At 44.9% G+C, this 21,933-nt stretch overlaps 1 long non-coding RNA gene across 2 annotated transcripts, besides 1 other annotated feature; it reads left to right on the forward strand.

Moving 5' to 3' along the window:
- Positions 488-728: a silencer, noted in NCBI's record as "fragment chr9:101670754-101670994 (GRCh37/hg19 assembly coordinates)". NCBI's record gives its function as "represses an EF-1alpha promoter that drives an FKBP-Casp9 reporter gene in an ReSE screen in K562 erythroleukemia cells {active_cell/tissue: K562}" and the evidence as "EXISTENCE:reporter gene assay evidence [ECO:0000049][PMID:32094911]".
- Positions 3,220-21,550, forward strand: ADIPINT (adipocyte associated pyruvate carboxylase interacting lncRNA). Of its 2 annotated transcripts, none has more exons than NR_176918.1 (2): positions 3,220-3,486; positions 20,372-21,550. It is a non-coding gene; the product is annotated as an adipocyte associated pyruvate carboxylase interacting lncRNA (long non-coding RNA). The 2 variants fall into 2 exon arrangements; NR_176917.1 differs by lacking the exon at positions 20,372-21,550 and adding an exon at positions 8,463-9,833.
- Positions 21,551-21,933: the final 383 nt, after the last annotated feature.

Genomic DNA, 21,933 nt, shown 5'->3' on the forward strand with positions numbered 1-21,933 from the left:
CTAATTTGTTGTATTTTTAGTAGAGGTGGGGTTTCATCGTGTTAGCCAGGATGGTCTCGATCTCCTGACCTCGTGATCTGCCCGCCTCAGCCTCCCAAAGTGCTGGGATTACAGGCGTGAATCACCATGCCCGGCTTCTTCACCGCTTTTCTGCACAGTGAAGATACCCCGGAAGGACTGGTGCTACCTTTTCAGAGCTGGAATGATTATACCAAAGGCCACTGGAGCTGGTCTGGCCACCAGGAGCTTTCTGATTTCCCAAGTGTCCCTCCTTTATGCCAGTCTCTGATGTCAGCTAGACCACTGGTTGGCTGGCCCAGTTATCCAGATCTGAAGGCCCTGCCCTGGCCTAGGGGCCCTTATTGATAAGAAGAGAGTGATGCTGCTGGTTCCCTGCTAGGGGAGCGGTGAACCCAGCCGAGAGGACATGTTGGCTGCACAGGTTTGCCTGCTAAAGGAGCCAGCGCAGTTGGCTGCAGGGAATTTGATGAAAATAATCAGCTGCAAACTCTTAAAAAACAAACAGACTTCGATCCAGAGGTTTGAATAACAGCCCTCTCAGCCAGATGGCCGCAGGAGCCTCGCCAGGGAGAAAAAAATGATCTCCTGCCCTGAATTTCCTCTTTGTTCTGGACCCTGCTCTCGGTGGACAGCATCGGTGCACCCCACCCTCGAGAGCGCCAGCCGCCCGGACAGGGCCTTGTGTTTAGGGAGCTTAAGGCAGCTTTCCCCAGATTAGGGTTTTGGGACAGGGAATCCAGGCAAAGAAGCGGCTTTCTTGTCCCAGTATGAGTCACCACAGGCTGGAGGAAGCACACAGCTGTCTGCATCTGGGCCTGGAATGTGGTTTCCTCTTCACAGGACACTCCCAAGGAGACTGGGACCCTTGTGGGTACAGGACAGGAAGTCGTAAGCAGGGCCACCCTGTGTGGGGCAGACCTGGACACCATGGTCCCCTCCAACAGGGCTTCACGTCCGAGCTATTGGGAAGAGAATGCTAGCTTGCTGCCACATTACATTGCAACCATGTCTGGAACAAGTGGTAGGGAGTGCAACCTCCCAGACTCAGCCCCCGATGGCTCCAATAAGAGCACTGATGTAAGACTGAGACCAATGTGGATTCGAATCCTTAGTCTTCTACTGTGTGACCTCAGACAACTTATTTGACTTCTCTGAGCCTGTTTTTACTTCCCTGAGTTTTAATGAGAATAATAAAGAAATTACATTTTCAATGCATATAGCACAGTATCTGGCACATAGCAGGCACAAAATAAACATTGGTTTCCTCCCTCCCAGCCTTCTGGCCCAGAGCCTCTTGGTACCAAGAATTTCTTCTAATGCCTACTCCTAAATGCTTTCACTGATCCGTGGTTCAACCTGTCATTCTTGGCTTTTGGCAAAACTTCCAAGTACAATCCTCTCCCATCTTCCCTGAATGGATTCCTCTCTCTCCTCTATTGTTATTTTAGTGACTCTGTTTGCCAGTATGTATTTTGATTTACTAAGCTACCACAGATTCTGTTTGGAAGTAGGCTAGGCAGGGTATGCAATTACAGTGATGTTGCATCAGGCTCATCTAACTTACAAGTTATTTTATTTTTTAATTTTTAATTTTTATGGGTATATCAGGTATATATATATATTTATGGGTTCAATGAGAAACTTTGATATAGGCATGCAATGCCTAATAATCACATCAGGGTAAATGGCGTATCCAACACCTCAAGCATTTATCACAAGGTAATTTTAGGATTTCCTCCCCTCTGGATGGGCGATATGGCTCACTCCCAGCTCTTTGGGAAGCTGAGGCAGGAGGGTCCGTTGAGCTCAGGAGTTTGAGGCCAACCTAGGCAACATAGTGAGACCTCCTTCTCTACAAACAAACAAACAAACAAACAAAATTAGCTGAGCATGGTGGCACATGCCTGTGGTCCCAGCTACTCAGGAGGCTGAGGTGGGAGGATCACTTGGGCCTAGGAGGTCAAGGCTATAGTGAGCTGTGATTGTGCCACTGCCCTCCAGCCTGGGTGACAGAGCTAGACTCTGTCTTTAAAAAAAAAAAAAAAAGCTTCACAACAACAAACAAATCTATTAATATGTACTAAAATGTTAAAGTGTATTAGTCAGGATAGGCTGGATTTTGCTTCAGTAATAAACAACTCTTAAATATGCATGGCTTAAAATAGCAAAGGCTCACTTCTCACTCATGCTCCACATTCATTGTAGGTTTGTGGGGTCATCGTTCACACTGACCTGTCTTAGATACTCAAGGTTCACCACCTGGAATGCTGTGGGTCACTGCAGCAGGGGGAGGAGAAGATGAAGAATCTCTTAGCAGCACTAGAATGCTTCTGCCTGGTGGTAACACACCACTTCCCATTTCACAGGCCAAAGGAAGGGACATACAATCCTATTGTGTGCTCAGGTGGAAAATAACCAGAAAAACTGAGGAACAAGCATTAATGTTGACTACATAGAGGCTCAGTGTTTTAAAATAATAGAGGAAACCCTGCAGGCAAGAAGAAGTTTCAGTATTCTCCACTCTTGCCATTAATCACTAGGGATTTGCTGGCCATTTTAAAATCAGAATATGCCCAGACATTTGCATAGAAGAAGTTCCTTTTGTTTCTCCCTTCGGTCTATGTCAGAGGTCCTGAATTTCCAGTGTGCGTAAGTATTCTTGTTTGCCATTGTACAACGCTGTGTACACAATCCTAAAAGGCTTTCAGAGTGTTTTGGACATAAGCATTTTCCCTGTATGTGCTGAGTTTAGAACCTAATTTACTTAGGATGTGACTTTGCAGTACTTAATTGACACTAATGCCTGATTTTAGTTGTCCCAAAGTTTTATCACATTCTCCTCTTCTGTGCGTCACTTACAACCCTAGGAGCTAGTTTTTATCCAAAACTCTGAAAAACGTCGTCCACATACATTATCTTATTTAGTAACACTTGTAACCCAAAGGAGTTGGTTTATTAGTGGAACATTTCCATTCTACAGAGAGGGCAAGTGACTTGCTCAAGGACACAGCGCAGATATGTGGAAGTCGAATTTGTGAACATATTTCTGTCTGGCTTTAAATTCTGTGACTTTCTCATGATCCTAGGCAGGCTTCCAGCTGGGACAAGGAGGTCTTATTTGGAAAGGGAGTTTATAGGCCCTGAACTCTGCTCTGGAAATCTGTGAAAAGAACAGGAGGGAATGAGAGGCTCAGCCCCATAGACCCTTCTCCCTGCTGCCATCCACTCAGGGCATTGTGCTTAGTGAAAGCCCAGTTTCCGCAGGGATTACTTTGGGCACACAACATTCTAGGAGCTGGATGTCCAGGAATTCCTGTTAATTAGGCATTTATTCACGGAATAAATGTTTCCCTGAAGAGCTTTCTGCAGCTGGCCAATGTTCCGGTTTGGTCGTGGGCAGTGAGATGCCCATTAGTCTAGAATACACGACAGTGTGAGGCGCACGTTCACACGTGAATTGCCCGTGTAAGTAGTATAAGTATGTAACATGTATAAGTGTGTAAGCTGTGTAATATGTATGTGTAGGGTTGGTGCTTGTGTTAGCTGTTCTCTGTTTGTAGAGTCACTAGATAAAATACAGGATGCTCAATTTAATCTGAACTTCAGATGAGCATCAAATTATTTTTTAGTATAAATTTATCCATGCAGCATTTGGAACATAATTATACTAAAAACATGTTATTCATCTGAAATTCAAATGTAACTGGTCATCTTGTGTTTCGGTTTGGTAATCTGGCTGCTATGTCTACATGCATGTGTGTCAGCATAAATGGACTTGCTTGTTTATACCCCAGGGTGCACCTGAGTGTGTGTGTTTGTGCCCGTGTGTCTCTGGGTGGGTACGGGGGTCTGTGTGCATGTGTACCTCGCTGATAAGGAGTCAGTGGCTGGTTGGGAACCAACTGCTTCACCATCCATAGCTCATCTCCTGCCAGTCCAACCCTACTGGAGCAAGAGGGGTCAGGATGGGCCAGGCATGGTGACTAAAGCCTGTAATCCCAGCACTTTGGGAGGCCGAGGTGGGTGGATCACCTGAGATCGGGAGTTTGAGACCAGCCTGGCCAACATGGTGAAACCCCGTTTCTACTAATAATACAAAAATTAGCTGGGTGTGGTGGCAGGCACCTATAATCCTAGCTACTCAGGAGGCTGAGGCAGAAGAATCGCCTGAACCCAGGAGGCAGAGGTTGCAGTGAGCTGAGATTGCGCCATTGCTCTCCATCCTGGGTAACAAGAGCAAAATTCAGTCCCCAAAAGAGAGACAGAAAAAAAAAAGAGGGGTCAGGATGGGCCTTGAATACCTGGTCAGGGAGCTTGGACTTTCTCCTGAGGGTAGCCACGTAAGGCTCTGAGTAAGGGAGCAAACAGATCTAGATGTGTTCTACAGAAGTCCCTCTGGCTGCATTGCAGAGAAAGAGCTGGAGAAGGCAACACCAGAGGGAGGCTGAGGGAGCTGGATGGTGACCATAGTGAGGGAGGGTGAAGATCTGGGCTAAGGCTTTGGCAGTGGAGATGGAGGGAAAGGGTCTAATTGCAGGACTCGTTGAACAACCATGAAGGGGCTGAGGAAGTCTGAAGTTGCAGGTGGTGTTCATGTTTCCAGCCTGGGCACCTGGGCTGATGAACCATGGGCCCCTTGGTGTTTATCTTGCTCCCTTCCTCACCCTCAATGTCAGGCACAGTGCCTGGCATGTAGTGGATGCTCTGTGGGTGTTTATGGCATGAATACATGTACATGTTGATGAGAGAAGTGGGGAATACATCAGGAAGAGGAAGAGGAGAAGAAGGTAGAGGAGGGAGAGGGAGAGGAGGAAGCGAAGGAAGAGGAGAAGAAGGGGAGGGAGGAGGAGAGATACATCCTGACTGCATGTCAGCGCTGGGGACTGACAGTGTCTATTTCATCCCTGGCTATAGCTCCACATTAAAATAGTACCCAGCAGTGAGTAAATGACAGTGTAAACCAAATCCAAGCACAGTGCCTGGCATATCGTAAAAGCTCAATAAATGTGCATTCCAACCTTCTTTTCAGGGAGTAAAGATGCTTCCATTATTCCAAGGAATTTCCTTCCCTGAGCACAGTTTTTCTGTTTTAGGGAGGTAAATGTCCTTTTGCTTGGGACATTTTGTCTTTTCTGCCATTGAATTCCTGGGAAATTCAAATGCACTGGGCCTCAAAGCTTGCTGTGGATCATGGGACAGTTAGAGCCCTAGTGAACAACGGCCCGATCCCAGGGGATGGCGCTAGTCAGGGTCAACCCCCTCATGGCCTCTCCTTCCTTCTGACATAGCCTTGTCGTCTGTTGGGAACCCAGAGATTCTCCTGGGTCTGGCACATAGTATGTGCTGTGTAAATGTTTGCTGTGATTATTTTTGTTATTACTGTCCCTGGGCCTGGTGTTTCCTGAAATTGAATTATTTCTCTGACTCTAAAGCTTAGTTTATTTTATTTTATTCAAGCCTTTGGCTAACATCTCAATAGCTCAGGATTCCCAAAGCAGGGAAGACTAATTCTGACACGATCCCTTTCCGGCAATTTTTAAACACTCATGCCACAGAGGAAGGTAGGCTTCCTTCAAGAGCTCACTTAGTGTAGATAAACATTTGACCGGTGGATATGCAAACAGTCCAAAAATGCACCTTTTTCTAAGTGTAGGGTCTCAAAAAGGGTTTTCAGGATTCAATGCATATTCATTTAGTCATTGGCTTGTTCATCTAGTAGTTCCCACTGGAATATAAACCAGGGCAGGCTTTTTGCCTGCCTTGTGTGCTATTGGAAACCCAGTGGCCGAACAGGGCCCGACACTTCACAACTGCTCAATACATATTTGTTGAATGAATGAATGAATGAATGAGCATCTTATCTGTGCTGGGATGCCTGGCATTTGGATACCAGAATTGGACACAGTCCCTGCAGTCCGTGAGCTTGTGGTCCTGCAGAACATCCCCTGCACCCAACGTCTACGTGAAATACAGTGCAGATCAACCCAACTGCCTGTGAGATAGGGAAGGCACCTGCAGGGGTCACGGAGCCAGGCAGAAGGAGAAGCACTTCTGCTAGGAATACCAGAGAAGGCGTCTTAGACTAAGTGGCATTTTTTTCCCCAAAAGTCTTGAAATCACCTTTTATTTTTGTTATTCTTTGTAGAATATGTCAATGTTTTAATAAGGACTCCATATACACATACAAAAGATCAACTGTGCTAATTATGTTAGGCCAGGTTCATTGAATCCATTTTAATCTTCCAAATTTGTTTTTCTTTAAACCGTCAGTCTAATTATAATTTTAAAACTATGATGAATTTTTATTTCTTTTATTGATATGTAATGTTAAACACATTTATAAGGCACATGTAAGTGTTTTATGCATGGAATGTGTAATGGTCAAGTAAGGGTATTTGAGGTATCCGTCACCTTGAGTATTTATCATTTATTTCTATGTGTTGGTATCATTTCAAGTCCTCTCTTTTAGTTACTTTGAAAGATACAAAATATTGTTTGTTGTTAAGTATAGTCATCCTAGTCTGCTATCAAACATTAGAACTTATTTTTTCTATCTAACTGTATGTTTGTACGCATTAATCACCTTCTCTTCATTATCCTCCTCCCACCCACCTACCCACCCTTCCCAGTCTCTGGTATCAATTATTCTATTCTCTATGCCCATGAGATCAAGTTTTTAGCTCCCACGTATGAGTGAGAACACGCGGTATCTGTCTTTCTGTGCCTGGCATTTTCACTTAACATAATGACCTCCAGTTCCATCCCTGTTGCTGCGAATGACATCTCATTCATTTGTATGGCTGAAGAGTATTTTATTGTGTATCCATACCACATTTTCTTTATTCATCCACCTATTGATGGACACTTAGGTTAATTTCATATCTTAGCTATTGTGAATAGTGCTGCAAGAAACATGGGAGTGCAGGTGTCCCTTTGGTACACTTGAATTCCTTTCTTTTGGATAAATACCCAGTAGTGGGATTGCTGGGTCAGGGGGTAGTTCTATTTATAATTTTCTGAGAAACCTCCATTTTGTTTGCCATAGTGGCTGTGCTAATTCACATTCCCAGCAACAGCGTGTTAAGAGTTCCAAGGTGGTATTTGCACCGCTTTGGTTTCAGCATCAAGGAGGAGTTGGTGGAAAGTCAACAGAAGGAGCCATGGTCTAGAGATGGGATATCTTGGTTGGCAGAGGAGTCCTATTTAGGCTCGCTGGGGATAAAGGTCACTGAAGCATATGTTCTGGATGGTAGGGCCCATGTCTGTCTGGTCCTTTGTTACATAGCATGGGATCTGGCACAGTGTGGGCTCTCAATGAGTTGTTGATTAAGAGAAGGAATGAATGACATGAGAGAAGAAAGAAAAGATGGGACCTAGACATCTTTCTGGAGGTTTTCTTGGCAACTATAATGGATTTCATTGCCTCCCCATGTCTGGAAGGAGCCTTAAGCCCCACCCCCATTACCTCCATAGCACTCCACCAAGCGATCATCTCGCTTTGGCTAGGATGCCTCTCAGTGATGGGGTTCTCAATCCCTCCCACACAACCTGTTCCTTTTTTATATAGATCTGATTATTAGAATAGCCGTCCTTCCACTCACCACAAGGAAGCAGAACGGCAGCAGGGAAAGAGCACTCAACCTGGAGTTAGAAGACCCGGGCTTGGCTCCTGAGCCTTCCACTGTCTCACCGTGTGGTTCTTGGGCAGGGGCAGGTGTAGCCAGTGATTATGAGTGTGGGCTTGGACATCTGGCAGATCTGCCTTAATTTCCTTATCTGTAAAATGGGAAGAGCAATAATGCCTACCTCATTAGGGCACTTGTGTGGATTAAATGAGATAATGCATGCAAAGTTCTTAGTGCCTTACCTGGCAAATTAGTGAGTGCTCAATGAAAGTTAGCTATGGTTTTTCATATTATCATCTTCTTCCTGGCTTTCAGTTTCTTCCTCTGTGTAATGGGAATAGGAAGCTCTGCCTTGGATGTCTCTAGGGCTTGGTGTGAGGAGCCAGACAGAGAATGGGCACGAAGGATCCACAGAGGTGAGGGATTCTGCATCATTCCCATCATATCGGCTTTTTCTGTAGGAGACTCCACTAGTGTGTGGTTTACCCCGAGATCACTCCTACAACACCGAGATCCTGAGGTTTTTCCCTCCCGTTGATGGTTAGGTTTCTGTTCCTTGACAGCCTGAATCATGGCCTCCAAGATCTTATTTACTTACTTATTTATTTTTATCAATAAATAAGTATTTATTTATCATCATTTATATGATGATCACGTTGGATTGTCACCCAGGCTGGAGTGCAGGGGTGTGATCATAGCTCACTGCAGCCTCAAACTCCTGGGCTCAAGCAATCCTTCTGCCTCAGCCTCTCTAGTAGCTGGGACTATAGGTGCATGCCACCATGCCTGCATAATTTTATTTTTAATTTTTTTTAGAGTCAAGGATCTTGCTATGGTGCCCAGGCTGGCCTTGAACTTCTGGCCTCAAGCAATCCACCCATCTCAGTCTCCCGAGTAGCCGGGATTACAGATCTACATTTAGAACAGGACTGCAAAGAAAGGAAAGGAGAAATGAAGAAAAGGAAGCAGACAAAGTTCTGGTTTTCAGTAGTTCCTTGGAGAGCTCAAGACTCAGACTCTGACCCTGTCTGCAAAGGGGGATCGTCCAGCCTTTGAAATAACCATTTCCTTCCCTCCTGGCCTTTTTCAGATCAGAGAGGTGGGAGGGGGCGTGGAGATTTAGTTCCCGGATGCACTGAACAGGAGGCTGTGAGCTTTCCTCTGATGTGCGACTCTTCTGCAGGGGCCCTGGCCCTGGGAGGCGGGGCTCTGGGCTGCGGCAGCTCCTCCTGTGGTCTACCTTGGCTTCACTGCAGGCCCAGCTGCTGCTGACCACGCGGGTTTCTTTTAAGAGGCTTGGCTGACCCTCAGCACAGCTGAAATGTTCTGAGACCTTGAATGTCAGAGATGGAAGCAACTTTATGATTCTCTGGGCCAGAGGTTCCCAGGCTGGGGTCCCTGGACTTGGGGTGCTCAGACTATTCCCGGTTCTTTCAAAAGCTGAAAAGAAACAGTATATAGCCCCTGTGTGAGGGCTCACGGGCTCGTAAAAGTATCCGGTGTCTTGACTTTTCTCTGAAATCAGCTCCAGCTGGTCCCTCTGTACCCTGGTGTTGCTGGTGACAGTGATAGCTTCCCACTGAACTTAGCTGCTAGAAGCAAGGTGAAGCCCTTCACACACCATCTCACTGATCTTCGATCCTGTAAGATGGGTACGTTTATGAGTCCTATTTTGCAGATGGAGACACTAAGTGCCAAAGGGGTTAAGCACTGTGCCCGAGTTCACACACCCAGCAGCCTGACTCCACAGCTCCAACCCCCAGCTACTAGCAAATAGTCCTCTGAAAGCTCAGTTATTTAGCTTTGAACACAGCAAAACTCATCATTATTCAGGGAAGATAATTTAGTAGAGAAAATGTTGAGATCTAAGTACTACACTTAGGAGGAATAATAAAAGGGTTGGTGGAATAGTTGAGGATATGCCATTTTTAATTTTTTATTGATTTTGTTTTGTTTTGTTTTGTTTTTCTTTGCTCTTGAGAGATGGCACATGCCACTTTGTTTTGTAAAACAAAGGCCTAGAGAAGTGAGGGTCCTGCCCAGTGTCATCTTGGGAACTGGTAGCCAGGACGAGAACTTGTTTCACTTTGCGTGGACTTCTTGGGTCTGACTCCAGAGGGCCTCCAGGGCAGCAGTGGCTTGTCCCGAGCTGATGGCATATGACTGGGGGTTCCCTGGAAGGGTCTCTGACATCCCCCTGTCCTGGCAGGCCACTCCCCAGCAAGGGTCAGGCCACACATCTTGACTAGCTTTCCACCAGTCCCCACCGACCTCCCACCAGCTGCACATTGCCTTGGCCTTGCCAGACCACAGAGCCGTTTAGAGCTGGCAGAGGCCAGCAGAATTCATCTTCAGCAAACTCTTCCTTCCAATCCCATCATTGTACATGTACTTTATGATTTGCAAAGTGCTTCCACATCTTCCACATCATTCAACTTGAGACCCAGGGCTGTTCTGGGAGCTGGGTGGGGGAGGGATAGTACCCCATTTTACAAAAGGAGAAAAGGAAGTTCTAAGAGGCAAAGTACCTTGTTCAAGGTCACACACTCAGATAAGAAATGTTGGAGTCAGAAGTTGGAGCTGGGTTGACCTTTTCCATTCCAGTGCCTGTTGCACCAAACAGCCTCCCTGTTTGGAATGAGGAATTGCAAGAAGCAGCGGTAAGTCACATGCCAAGCTGGGTTGTGCCAAGAACTTTATATTTAACTAACAGCATCGCCATTAACCATATCTTTTTTCCCATAGTGGACAAATACAGGTACCTAAATTAAAACAATTTTATCTGTGTCAACCAAGATTGCAGGCCTGCACTCTGAGAACTCATGATGTAATGAATAGACACAAATGTTCAAGGCAGAAGTGGTTTATATTCTAGACTCATAACTGTCTCACTGTGACCCTGAGAAAATGTTATGCTCTGGGCCCCTGTTTTCCATGTGTACAATGAAGATAATAATACCTAACACCTACCTTGCTTGTTATGAAAATGATTAGGGCCGTCATATACAAGTTTCTTCGTAAAATTTTAAGACGTGTTATACAACTATTACACATGACCATGAATCTTCGTAAACACCTAAGGCAAGGGAAATTCACATACACACACACACACACACACACACACACACACACACACATAAACACATTTATATGTAATTAATGATGAATAAGTACATCCTAAGTAGTTTACATGGCTCATTCTATTAATTGGAACAAGAGCCTTGTGGAAGCTAGTACCATGATCATTCCCATTTTATAGATGAGGAAACTGAAACCCAGAGATCTTAAGTAACAGGTAGCAAATGGCAGAAGCAGGATATGAAATCTGGATAACAGGTAAGCTCTTTAACAGCCAAGGTGCATCAGAATCACCTGAAGGGCTGGTTAAAATATGAAATGCTGAGTCCCACCCCGTGATTCTGATTCAATAGGTTTGGTGTGGGGCCTGAAAATTGGATGCTGATACTGCCGGATCAGGGACCACACTTTGAGAGCCACTATGTTAAGCTTTGTGCCCAAGACCACATACCCAGCAGTCTGACTCCACAGCTCCAACCCTCAACTACTAGCAAATAAATAGTCTTTTAAAAGCTCAGTTGTATAGCTTTGGATACTGCAAAACTCATCATGATTCAGGGAAGGGAATTTGGTAGAGAAAATGTTGGGGTCTCAGTACTACACGTAGGAGGAATAATAAAAGGGTCTCACTGCTTGTAATCCCAGCACTTTGGGAGGCCGAGGCGGGCTGATCACGAGGTCAGGAGATCGAGACCATCCTGGCCAACATGGTGAAACCCTGTCTCTACTAAAATACAAAAAATGAGCCTGGTGTGATGGTGCATGCCTATAGTCCCAGCTACTCGGGAGGCCGAGGCAAGGGAATCGCTTGAACCCAGGAGGCAGAGGTTGCAGTAAGCTGAGATCGCGCCACTGCACTCCAGCCTGGCAACAGAGCAAGGCTGTGTCTCAAAGAAAAAAAAAAAGTGTCTCACTGTATACAGAGCTCTCCTGCCCTTCCAATGGCCCAATCCAGGCCCCCTGAGGCCTGTGACACAGGTTAGCTGGATCTCTGTATGCACTAGGTGCTTGACTTATGTCTGGTAGATACATGTTACGCTAATGGAGAGGTGTGGAAGTGGACGGTGATGCTGGGTAGACCTTTTCTCCTTCGGAAACCAAGTGAGAGAAGTTACCCCATGCATTTGCCTGTGTTTGAAGGCCCTGCAGGTGCCTGAATCTTTGTGGCTGTGGCTACTCAGGCCCTTCCCCAGGGCCATCCAGCAGGAGGGAAGGCCATTTGTCTGGAAAAGGCACAGGAGAGAATTCACATGATGTCTTCCCAGCTCCCATCAGTCAGGGTTTCCCTTTAAGCTCCTCACACTCCCAGATTTCAGGAAACAGTCTATGAATGGAGAGAAAAGGCACAGCCTTCAAAAACAGAAAGCACAGACCAAGAATATTTAAATTCAATAAACCTAATTTAATTTATGTTTTTGAAAAGAAATAAGAAACCAACTTCCAGAAGAAGAGAAGCATTTCAGAAAACAGGGGTTGAGCCAAAAGCTGTGGTCACAGATATAAGAGAGTAAAAAATCAAGGGCATATGGATATCCACTTGTTCCAGAACTATATTTGTGGAAAAGACTATGCTTTCTCTACTAAATTGCATTGATATTTTTGTAAAAAATCAGTTGTCCAGACCTAGAATAGCCAAAACAATCTTGAAAAACAACAAAGTTGGAGGACTCACACTTCACAATTTCAAAATTTACTACAAATCTGCAGCAATCAAGACTGTGTGGTACTGGTGTAAAGACAGACTTATATCAATAGCACAGAATTTGAGAGTCCAGAAATACAAGCTCACATTTATGATAAGTTGATTTTCTGCAATGGTGCCAAGATCATTCAATGGAGGAAAAAAACCAGAATCTTCAACAAATGGTGTTGGGGCAACTGGATATCCATATGCAAAAGAATGAAGTTGGACCCCTGACTTACACCATATAAAAACATTAACTCAAAATGAACCAAAGACCCAAATGTAAGAGCTAAAACTATAAAGCTTTGAGAAGAAAACATAGGTATAAATCTTCATGACTTTGAATTAGGCAATGGGATATTTCCTCATTTAGTTTGGTCTTGTTTAACTTCTCTCAGCAATGTTTTGTAGTTTTCAGTATAAATCTTGCACAGCTCTGGCCAGACTTATGCCTAAGCATTTCATATTTTTGTGTTACTGTAAATGGTATTGTCTTTGAATTGCAATTACCAATTTTTTTTTGCTTGTGTATAGTAATAAAATTGATTTCTTTATGTTGATTTGATATCCTGCAACCTTGCTAAGCTCACTTATTAGTTCTGCAGCTTTAATGTAGATTTCATCAGATTTTCCCCATTGACAATTATGCCATCTGTGAATAAAGGCAGTTTCTGATCTGGATGCCTTTTCCTTTACTTGCCTTAATGAATTAACTAGAACCTCTGATACAACATAGAAGAGTAGCGAATGCAGAAGGGGGAGATCTTCCAGTCTTTCGCATTAACTATGATGTTAGCTGCGGGTTAGCTGAGGTCTTCTGCCTCAGCCTCCTGAGTAGCTGAGACTACAGGCACCTGCCACCACGCCCAGCTAATTTTTGTATTTTTAGTAGAGATGGGTTTCACCTTATTGGCCAGGCTGTTCTCGAGCTCCTGACCTTGTGATCTGCCCGCCTCAGCCTCCCAAAGTGCTGGGATTACAGGCGTCAGACACCACTCCCGGCCTTTTTCCCCCTCTAGTCTTAATTTGCTGGGACTTTTAATCAGAAATTGATGTTGGAGGCTGGGCGCGGTGGCTCACGCCTGTAATCCCAGCACTTTGGGAGACTGAAGCGGGTGGATCACCTGAAATCAGGAGTTTGAGTGGTCTGGCCAACATAGTGAAACCCTGTCTCTACTAAAATTACAAAAATTAGCCAGGTGTGGTGGCACATGCCTGTAATCCCAGGTACTCGGGAGGCTGAGGCAAAAGAATTCCTTGAACCTGGGAGGCGGAGGTTGCAGTGAGCCAAGATCGCGCCACTGCACTCCAGCCTGGGCGACAGAACACGACTGTCTCAAAAAGAAGAAGAAGAAGAAAAAAAAGAAATTGATGTTGGATTGTCAAATGCTTTTTGGACATCTACTACTAGAGAAAACACAGGGATCACAGATGAGAGAGAGTTCAAACTTGAGAGTGGCCTCTGTTTTCTCTCAGAAAGAAGATAAGGGGAAGAAAGTGCCCTGCCCAGTGAAAGGAGCCTTGCTTAGGGAGCCACGTGGGTGTGTGGGGAGCCTCTGTTCTGTGTCTCTCTCCTTGGCCAGCCTTCCTAGGGTCCAGGTCCTGGCCTGTGGACTCCAAAGCCAGTGCTCTTTCCTCTACACCAAACTGTCTAAAGACTTTGACTCCAGAACACTGCTTGACCAAGGCCCCTAAAATGAATAAAACTTTAGATTCCTCAATAATATAAAATAGTAGGAATCATTTGCTGAGCACTTTTGGAATATAAGAAACAAAGCTGGAACTAGGGTGAGGTGAAGGAGCCATTCACGGATGCAAAATTTAAGGGGGCACTCGCTTGACCCTATGTGCCTCCCTGGCCTCACCCTCATCCAGGCTCTGCAAAGAGCAGTGCTAAACACTTTACCTGCATTTACTCCCTTAATCCACAAAACAACACTTTAGTGATAGGCGTGATTATTGTTTTTGTTTGTTTGTTTTCTGAGACAGAGTCTCGCTCTGTCACCCAGGCTGGAGTGCAGCGGTGCAATCTTCAGCTCACTGCAACCTCCACCTCCCGGGTTCAAGCGATTCTCCTACCTCAGCCTCCCAAGTAGCTGGGATTACAGGCGTGCACCGCCATACCTGGCTTTTTTTTTTTTTTTTTTTTGGTATTTTTAGTAGAGACGGGATTTCACTATGTTGGTCAGGCTGGTCTTGAATGCCTGACCTCAAGTTATCCACCCACTTCAGCCTCCCAAAGTGCTGGGATAACAGGTGTGAGTCACGGCGCCTGGCCATGATTATCATTCTTAGTTTACAGGTGAGGAAACTGAGGTTCAGAGAGGTGAAAGTGACCTGGCCAAGTAATTAGTGGCAGAGCTGGCCTTTGGAGCAAAGTCTGTTCATGTTTTGTCTGTGTTCTTAATCAGTGGTTCTCAACTCTAGTGACCCAGAATCACCTGGAAGTTTGACTGAAACACTGCTGGCTGCCCCCCAACACCCCTCGCCCACCGCCACTGCCCCAGAATTTCTGACTCAGTAGGTCTGCTATGTGGGTAGGAGAATTTGCATTTCTAACAGGCTCCGGAGGCTGCTCCTGCTGCTGGTCCAGGGACTGTCCTTGGAGAACCACTTCAGTATGCCTTACTTCCTCCTCCATGACCCCTGTTCACTGGAGCTCAGGGGCATGAAGATTCTGAAAGTGAAAGAGAGAAGTCTAAGAAGTGTCAGATCCTTCTGGCTTGCGAAAAAAATGAAAGCATCAATTTCCCTGGACTGGACCAAGAGTTTCCAATGTCACCCCTGCTATGCTGAAGCCCCAGCTTCATTCCAGAATGCCCCAAACAGAATCAATGAGCAGCTATGAGTTGAGTTGGGGGATGAACTGACCAGTAGTGAGAACCTCTGTGGGGACTTATTCATCTGAAAAGAATGCCTGACATTTATTCTGAAAGGCTTCTTTCTATAGACCCTCAATCCTTGTAGTACAAAATGGGCATTTTCTTCTTAAATATATTTCAAATGTTTTCTGATTTATTCTGAGACATCTGTATCAGAGGGACCCGGTACACCAGATTTTTAAAGCCTTTGAAGAAAGGCCATTGCAAAATAACAGACAGCGGGGATAAAACCAACACAGAGCTATTTAACATGTGATAAGGAAAGGCAGACTTAAACTGGGCTTGCTGAAATCCCCAAGTTTTAAACATGTGACATTTCCAGAGTTGACCCTAGTGTCTGACGGGCTAAATTTTTCTTTAATCCTCCACATTTTTGGTCTCTAAGAACCCCTATCAGGCTGCACATTGCCCTAAAGTGCAATAAGAGAAAAGCTGATTTTATTCCTTCACTAGATCTTTATTGGGAGTATCACAAAGCCCCGTGGCAGGAAATCCCAGCCCTGGCTATACCTTGGACTCACTTGGGAAGCTCCTAATCATCTCTTTGCCCCAGTTACACCCCAGACCAATCACAGCAGAATCTCCGGGGGTTAGGACCAGGCATGCCTGCTTTTGAAGTACCCTACCCTCCACTGTGACACCATTGCAGCCAGGGCTAAGAAGCTTTGCTTTAGACAGTGAATTCCTGGAGAATCCCCACTGCTTTCTTCTTGCTCTTTCTCCAGGAGCTACAGCTGATAATGATGCTTCACACCCTGAATATCTCCTCCTGGAGTTAAAGCCTAACTTAGAATGTGGAGGCAGCAGCTGCCTGGGCTCTGATTTGAACGGGAAGGGAATTCCTATTTCTTAAAGATCTTCCCAGTGCCAGCCTAGTTTCATCCACCTAATAACCCTAGGAGAAAGATATTACTGTCTTCACTTGGTAGAAGACACGACTGATGTTCAGAGAGGTGAAGTGACTTACCCAAGGACACTCAGCTGTCAGATGGCACAGCTGGGATTTAAAGCCAGGTTTGTCTCCCCTCCTCCTTGGGAAAGATGGAAGAGTCCCTGTTAGCCACAGGGAACCCCTTCCTTCTCAAAGCAGCTCACTCCTCTTTCGGGCATCCAGGAGCCCTCATCCAGCCCCCTTTCACCCCCATCCCTGTCTCAAGCCCCAGTGTCTCCCCAGGTTCTGCAGCACGGCTCTCTCAAGCAGTCACGGTGAAGAAATGAGCTTTGGCCAGCGGGGTGGGGTGGCCCTGAACAGTTCTTATGCTTGCACTTCCCGTGTCTGTCTTTTTTCCTGATGATGAATTGCCCTCTGGGGGAAAGGGGACCTCCGAGCTTACCTGGAGGTCAAGGCCAGCTTGCCTGGAAAGGAAGCCTAAGGAACCCCTTTAACTTTGGGGACCACTGGACACCAATGCACTGTGCCTCTGCAATTCTGTGCTTGCTGGTCCTGCTGTTTCTGCCATAACCTACTATTGGGAAAGGAGGGGGAGGGAGGATCCGCTATTGTTTCTTAAGCCCTACTTCACAGGTAGAGAGCATCAGGAGAGGGTGCCAGGAGGCAGCACCATCCAGCAGAAATCAATAATCCCGGACCAGAAAATGGGCCCCTGGCTTTCTGTCCCAGCCTTGCCACAAACTGAGTGATTTTGCAGGTCATGACCTCTTTGGATCACAGTTATCTTATGTGCAAAGCAAAGCATTTGACCTAGAGAATTTTTTTGAGCCCTCAGGTTCTATGAGAATTGTGCTGCTCTAGTAACAACAGCAGTTAGGGTGACCCACCCCTCCTGGTTTGCCAATTGGAGCATTGAAGTCCTGTGTGTCAGGAAATTCCTTAGTCCTGGGCAAACCAGGATGGTTGGTCACTCTAACTGCTGTCATCTTTTCAGTATGCGGCGTGTTCGGCCTCTGGCACACGACAACAGGAGCAGTGGCAGCAGTAGGCTGTGGTCTTACTGCCATACCTTTAGATTCCTTCCCTCATCTCAGAGTGCTGAGAACAGAGGCTGCAGTTCCCTGGAGGCCCGACCTCTCTCTGTGCTTTCCCGTGGTCCTCGAGGCAATCTCCTGTCTGTCTGCCCTACCCTGGACCGTGCGTCTGGCCTTGTAAACAGTTCCTGATTTTCTCCAGTTCTGAGGCCCCTTGTTTCTTTAGCTAAAGGTCAAGGGCAGGATGACTCTCTTGTCACTGTGCTGTTGGGTGGGGCATCACAAGGGCTCTGCTGTGCTCCTCCCCAGCTCCCTGGCATCGAGCATTCCCTCCACAGCCCCTTGGTCACTGGCAGCCAGAGTCACTATGTGTCCACTCACAGACCCGGCCAGGCCTGGCCGAGAGTGGGTGGGCCATGCGCAGTTCAGCGTGGAGCTTGTGCCTCATTGTTGCTCCTAATGTATGTGCAGTGCCCAATAGCCACCCTGCTTACAGCGGGTGTCAAGCAGCTTCCTGGGTGCTTCTCAGAGGAGCCTCACATCACTGTGGAAGGGGAAGGTCTTTCTCCTGGGTTAATGGCTGTGGACACTGAAGCTCTGAGAGGCACATGGGCTTGAGGTAGCCCATTCAGGGCCAGGACCAGGGTTCCAGTCTGTAAGAGCCTCTTTAGGTCTCTAAGACCCTGCCACTCAGGCCTTCCTTGTTTCCAGGCTCCTTATCCATCCTTCAACGCCACCATTGGCATCATCGCTCCACAGCACCGCCTGGCTTGTCCCTTCATTAAACAACCTGAAAGGACTTTGAAAAGCAAACAAAACCACCTTTTACTTACAGAAACTTTCAAAGAAATATGGAAGGGAACAGTGTAACAGCACCATCCCCCAATACCCCCAGCTTTGGCAGCCACCTCTCCTCTCATTCCATCTGGCCCCACATGCTCCTGCCCTCCTTGTTGTTTGAAGCAGTCCTAGATCTACCATTTGAACCACAAACATTTCTGCATCAATCTTAAAGATGAGAACTTGGAGAAATAACCACAATACCATTACCATCTTTAACAAAATAAACAATAATTCCTTAATAGCAACAAAAGCCCCGAGTTCAAATGTCTCCCAATGTTTCTTAAATGTTGTCATTAGAATTCACTTGTTTGGCTCAGGATTGAAATAATGTCTGTGTATTCCAACTGATAATATGTCTCTTAAGTTTCTTTTGACCTCTAGATTGCCCTCTTCTTTGCCTTTTCCTTTGTAATTTATGTTTGAGGTGAGGAGTATCCCAATTACCCAAATTTGACCATTACACATTATATACATAGATCAGAATATCATATGTGACCCCAAAATATGCACAACTATGATAAATCAATTAAAAAATACAAAAAAAGAAAAAAGAGAAACTAATCATTTGGCTGGTAGAGTTAGTGTCTCACAATCTGGATTTTGCTGTTAGTAACCCTTGTGGTATTGTTTAATATGTTTCTCTGTTCCTTGTGTTTTAAAGAAAACATAATGACGTAATGCCATTATCTTTTTTTTTTTTTTTTTTTTGAGATGGAGTCTCCCAGGCTGGAGTCCAGTGGCGCGATCTCGGCTTACTGCAAGCTCTGCCTCCCGGGTTCACGCCATTCTCCTGCCTCAGCCTCCCAAGTAGCTGGGACTACAGGCACCCGCCACCACGCCCAGCTAATTTTTTTGTTGTATTTTTAGTAGAGACGGGGTTTCACTGTGTTAGCCAGGATGGTCTCTATCTCCTGACCTCGTGATCCACCCACCTCGGCCTCCCAAAGTGCTGGGAATGCTGTTATCTTAATAAAACTATTTTTATTCCTTCCCATTCCCTTCTTTTTTTATTTTTTAGAGACAGGCTCTTGCCCTGTCACCCAGGCTGGAGTTCAGTGGTACCATCATGGCTCACTGCAGCCTCAAACTCCCGGGCTCAAGCGATCCTCCCACCTCAGCCTCCTGAGTAGCTGGGACTACAGGTAGACACCACCTAAACTGGCTAATTTTTAAAATTTTTTGTGGAGATGGGGTCTTGCTATGTTGCCCAGGCTGGTCTTGAACTCCCACCTCAGGCTCCCAAAGTGCTAGTATTACAGGTCTTACTCCCTTCTGATCACTGTTTACATGCATATAATCTTTCAGGGTTTTTCCTGTTAATTTGATTAACACTACTCTGTAAATATTTTCTAGTTTTTATATAGAACTTTCATCATTAACATTCTTAATAGTTACCTACTAGAGTTATGTTAAGCCTTAATCATTCTTCTATTGTTGAACTTGTAAAGGTTTTGTCTAGTTTTATCACTATGACAGATAACACTAAATCTTTCATGTCTCTGGTATAATTATTTATGTATGAACTCTATATCCGTGACTTTGTCTGTGTTGGGTCATGTGTCCACACTGCTCCCTCCCTGCAATTTTTGTTTCCAATTTAACAAATGTAAAATGATGCATGGAGGATCCAAGATGACCACAGATTCTTTGTTACCTCTCCCATTGAGAGGTGGAGTTTAATTCCCCTTCCCTTGAACCCGGGCTGGCCTTAGTGCCTTGCTTGACAAACAGTATGTGGCAGAAGTAATGCTCTGAGACCTCTGAGCTAGTTTGTAAGAAACCTTGCAGTTTCTGCCCAGGTCTCTCAGAATGCTTGCTCTAGGGCATGCCGGCTACCACGTGAGAGATCCGGCCACTGTGAGGAGACTGCGTACTAGAGAGGCCCTGAATAGGAGCTGGGGTCCATATCCCAGCCAAGCCCAGCCTGCCAGCCTCCCCAGGCAGCAGCCATGAGAGTGAATCCTTGGATTCTCTCAACTCATTGGCCAGCTGAGTATCACAGAGTGAGCCAAGCCCCGCCTCAATTCCTGACCCTGAAAATCATAAAATACAATTAAATGGTGGTTGTTTTAAGCTGTCAAATTTTAGGATACTTTATGTAGTAATAGGTAACTGGAACAGGTGCCTTTATGTCCTTCCCCTAGCTCCCTTTTTAAAAAAAAAAAGAACTTTTTTGTTTTTGAATAAGAACTACGTTTCTTTGATTTACATTTCCAGTGTATATTTTCGCAGGTATTTGGATTTGCATTTGTGATTTTTTTCTTTTTAAATTAATTGCCTTTGTAAATTGGCCTTGTTTTGTTCTGGGGTAGGACTTTGACTCCAAAGCATGTCTGGGACCCTGCACATCTAACTCCTACCTATGTCGCTGGTGGAACTTATGCTCTTAACAAGGAGATTTCTATCTGAATGTCCTGGGAGGTGCCTTCCAATTCTTCCATGATTGCATCTCTTGGATGGTGGAGTGAGAAATGAGATTTATCTTCTGAAGCCAAAACCCATATCTAACTGATCATGGCATATTTAGTGCTACAAATGAAATACAAATAGAAAGACATACTAAGCATCCTTTCAATTCTTCGTGACAAGAAGACCCTTCTGCATCCATAGCAACCAGGAAACACAGAAACAAGAACATCCTTCAACCCTGAATGATTTCTGCAGTAATATCATTTTAGATTTTGTGCCTTGAACACAACTATAGTTTTATGTTTGCTTTTTGCATATATTTTGTATTTATTTCATAAAACATGAAAGCATTCTAAAAACACTAAATAATTCTCATCTTACCCTCACCTCTACTAATGATGTTTCTTCCTGCTTAAAGCATTCACAGCATCTATTGTTATATTTCTGAAAGATTTGAATTTTTTAAAAGTAGAGATCTAATAACATGAGAGAAATTTGAAAACAAGGTAAAAAGCCATAAGCCTACCACTTTGACAGTGACAACCATATTTTTATGTGCCCTTGCTGTTTTTACAACTCACGTGTGTTTAAATATTTTTTCAGACTATTTCACCTAATATTTTATCAGAAGCATTTTCTATAATCCCATAAAGTTTATACCCGTCATTTTTAAGGGCTATAGAATATTTTTTCAAGGTTTATACCATAATTTACTTAACTACCCTCCTTCCCCTTTTTGCATATTTGGGATGATTCCAGGTTTTCACTAAGCAGCTCTTTGATGAATATTTTTCTGCATATGGCTTTTTCCATATTTCAGGGTATTTTCTTAGGCTAGCTTCCCAGAAGGGGATTACTGAGTCAAAGCACATTAACATTTTTATGGCTTCATAGTATCTTTTGAAGAAGGTAGGTGTTCCATTTCATGAGGTCCACAAACATAAAAGAGGAAATTTGGCTTCAAAAACTCCCTTGTAACACATGTACATTAAAATTTTGTCGTAGAGCTGTTCTGATACTTTTCTAAGTAATTAAAGCTTGCCCTTTTAAATTAAACAAATATAAAAAGTTATTTTTCACTTTGTTTTTGAGAAGAGTCTTTTCTAGGATGTTCTACACTTCTGAGCTTTTCTAGAAAGAATCCACAAAGCCAGCTCTGATTTTCGTCTTTATTCATGGACCACAGGCAACTACTGGAAATGGGGGTCTGAGAAGCTGATCCCAAGCAAACAGCCAGGCATCCACATAAGCAAAGATGTGTTGGGATTTCTCTGGTCTCACCTTGCGGCTAGAAACTTTCATCTCTCAGAGAAGTCCCCCAGTACTCCCGCATGGGCTCATGCGAATGTGAAAAACCTTCAGGTGGCTTTCCCTGGATCACCCAGATAGCAAGTTTAGGTGGCTGAAGTGAATAAAGTCTGCGTGCTTTCCTGAAGTGTAGGCGAGATGGGATGTGAGGCCAGAA

This window comes from Homo sapiens, chromosome 9 (genome assembly GCF_000001405.40).
Source record: "Homo sapiens chromosome 9, GRCh38.p14 Primary Assembly".
Classification (NCBI taxonomy): Eukaryota; Metazoa; Chordata; class Mammalia; order Primates; family Hominidae; genus Homo; species Homo sapiens.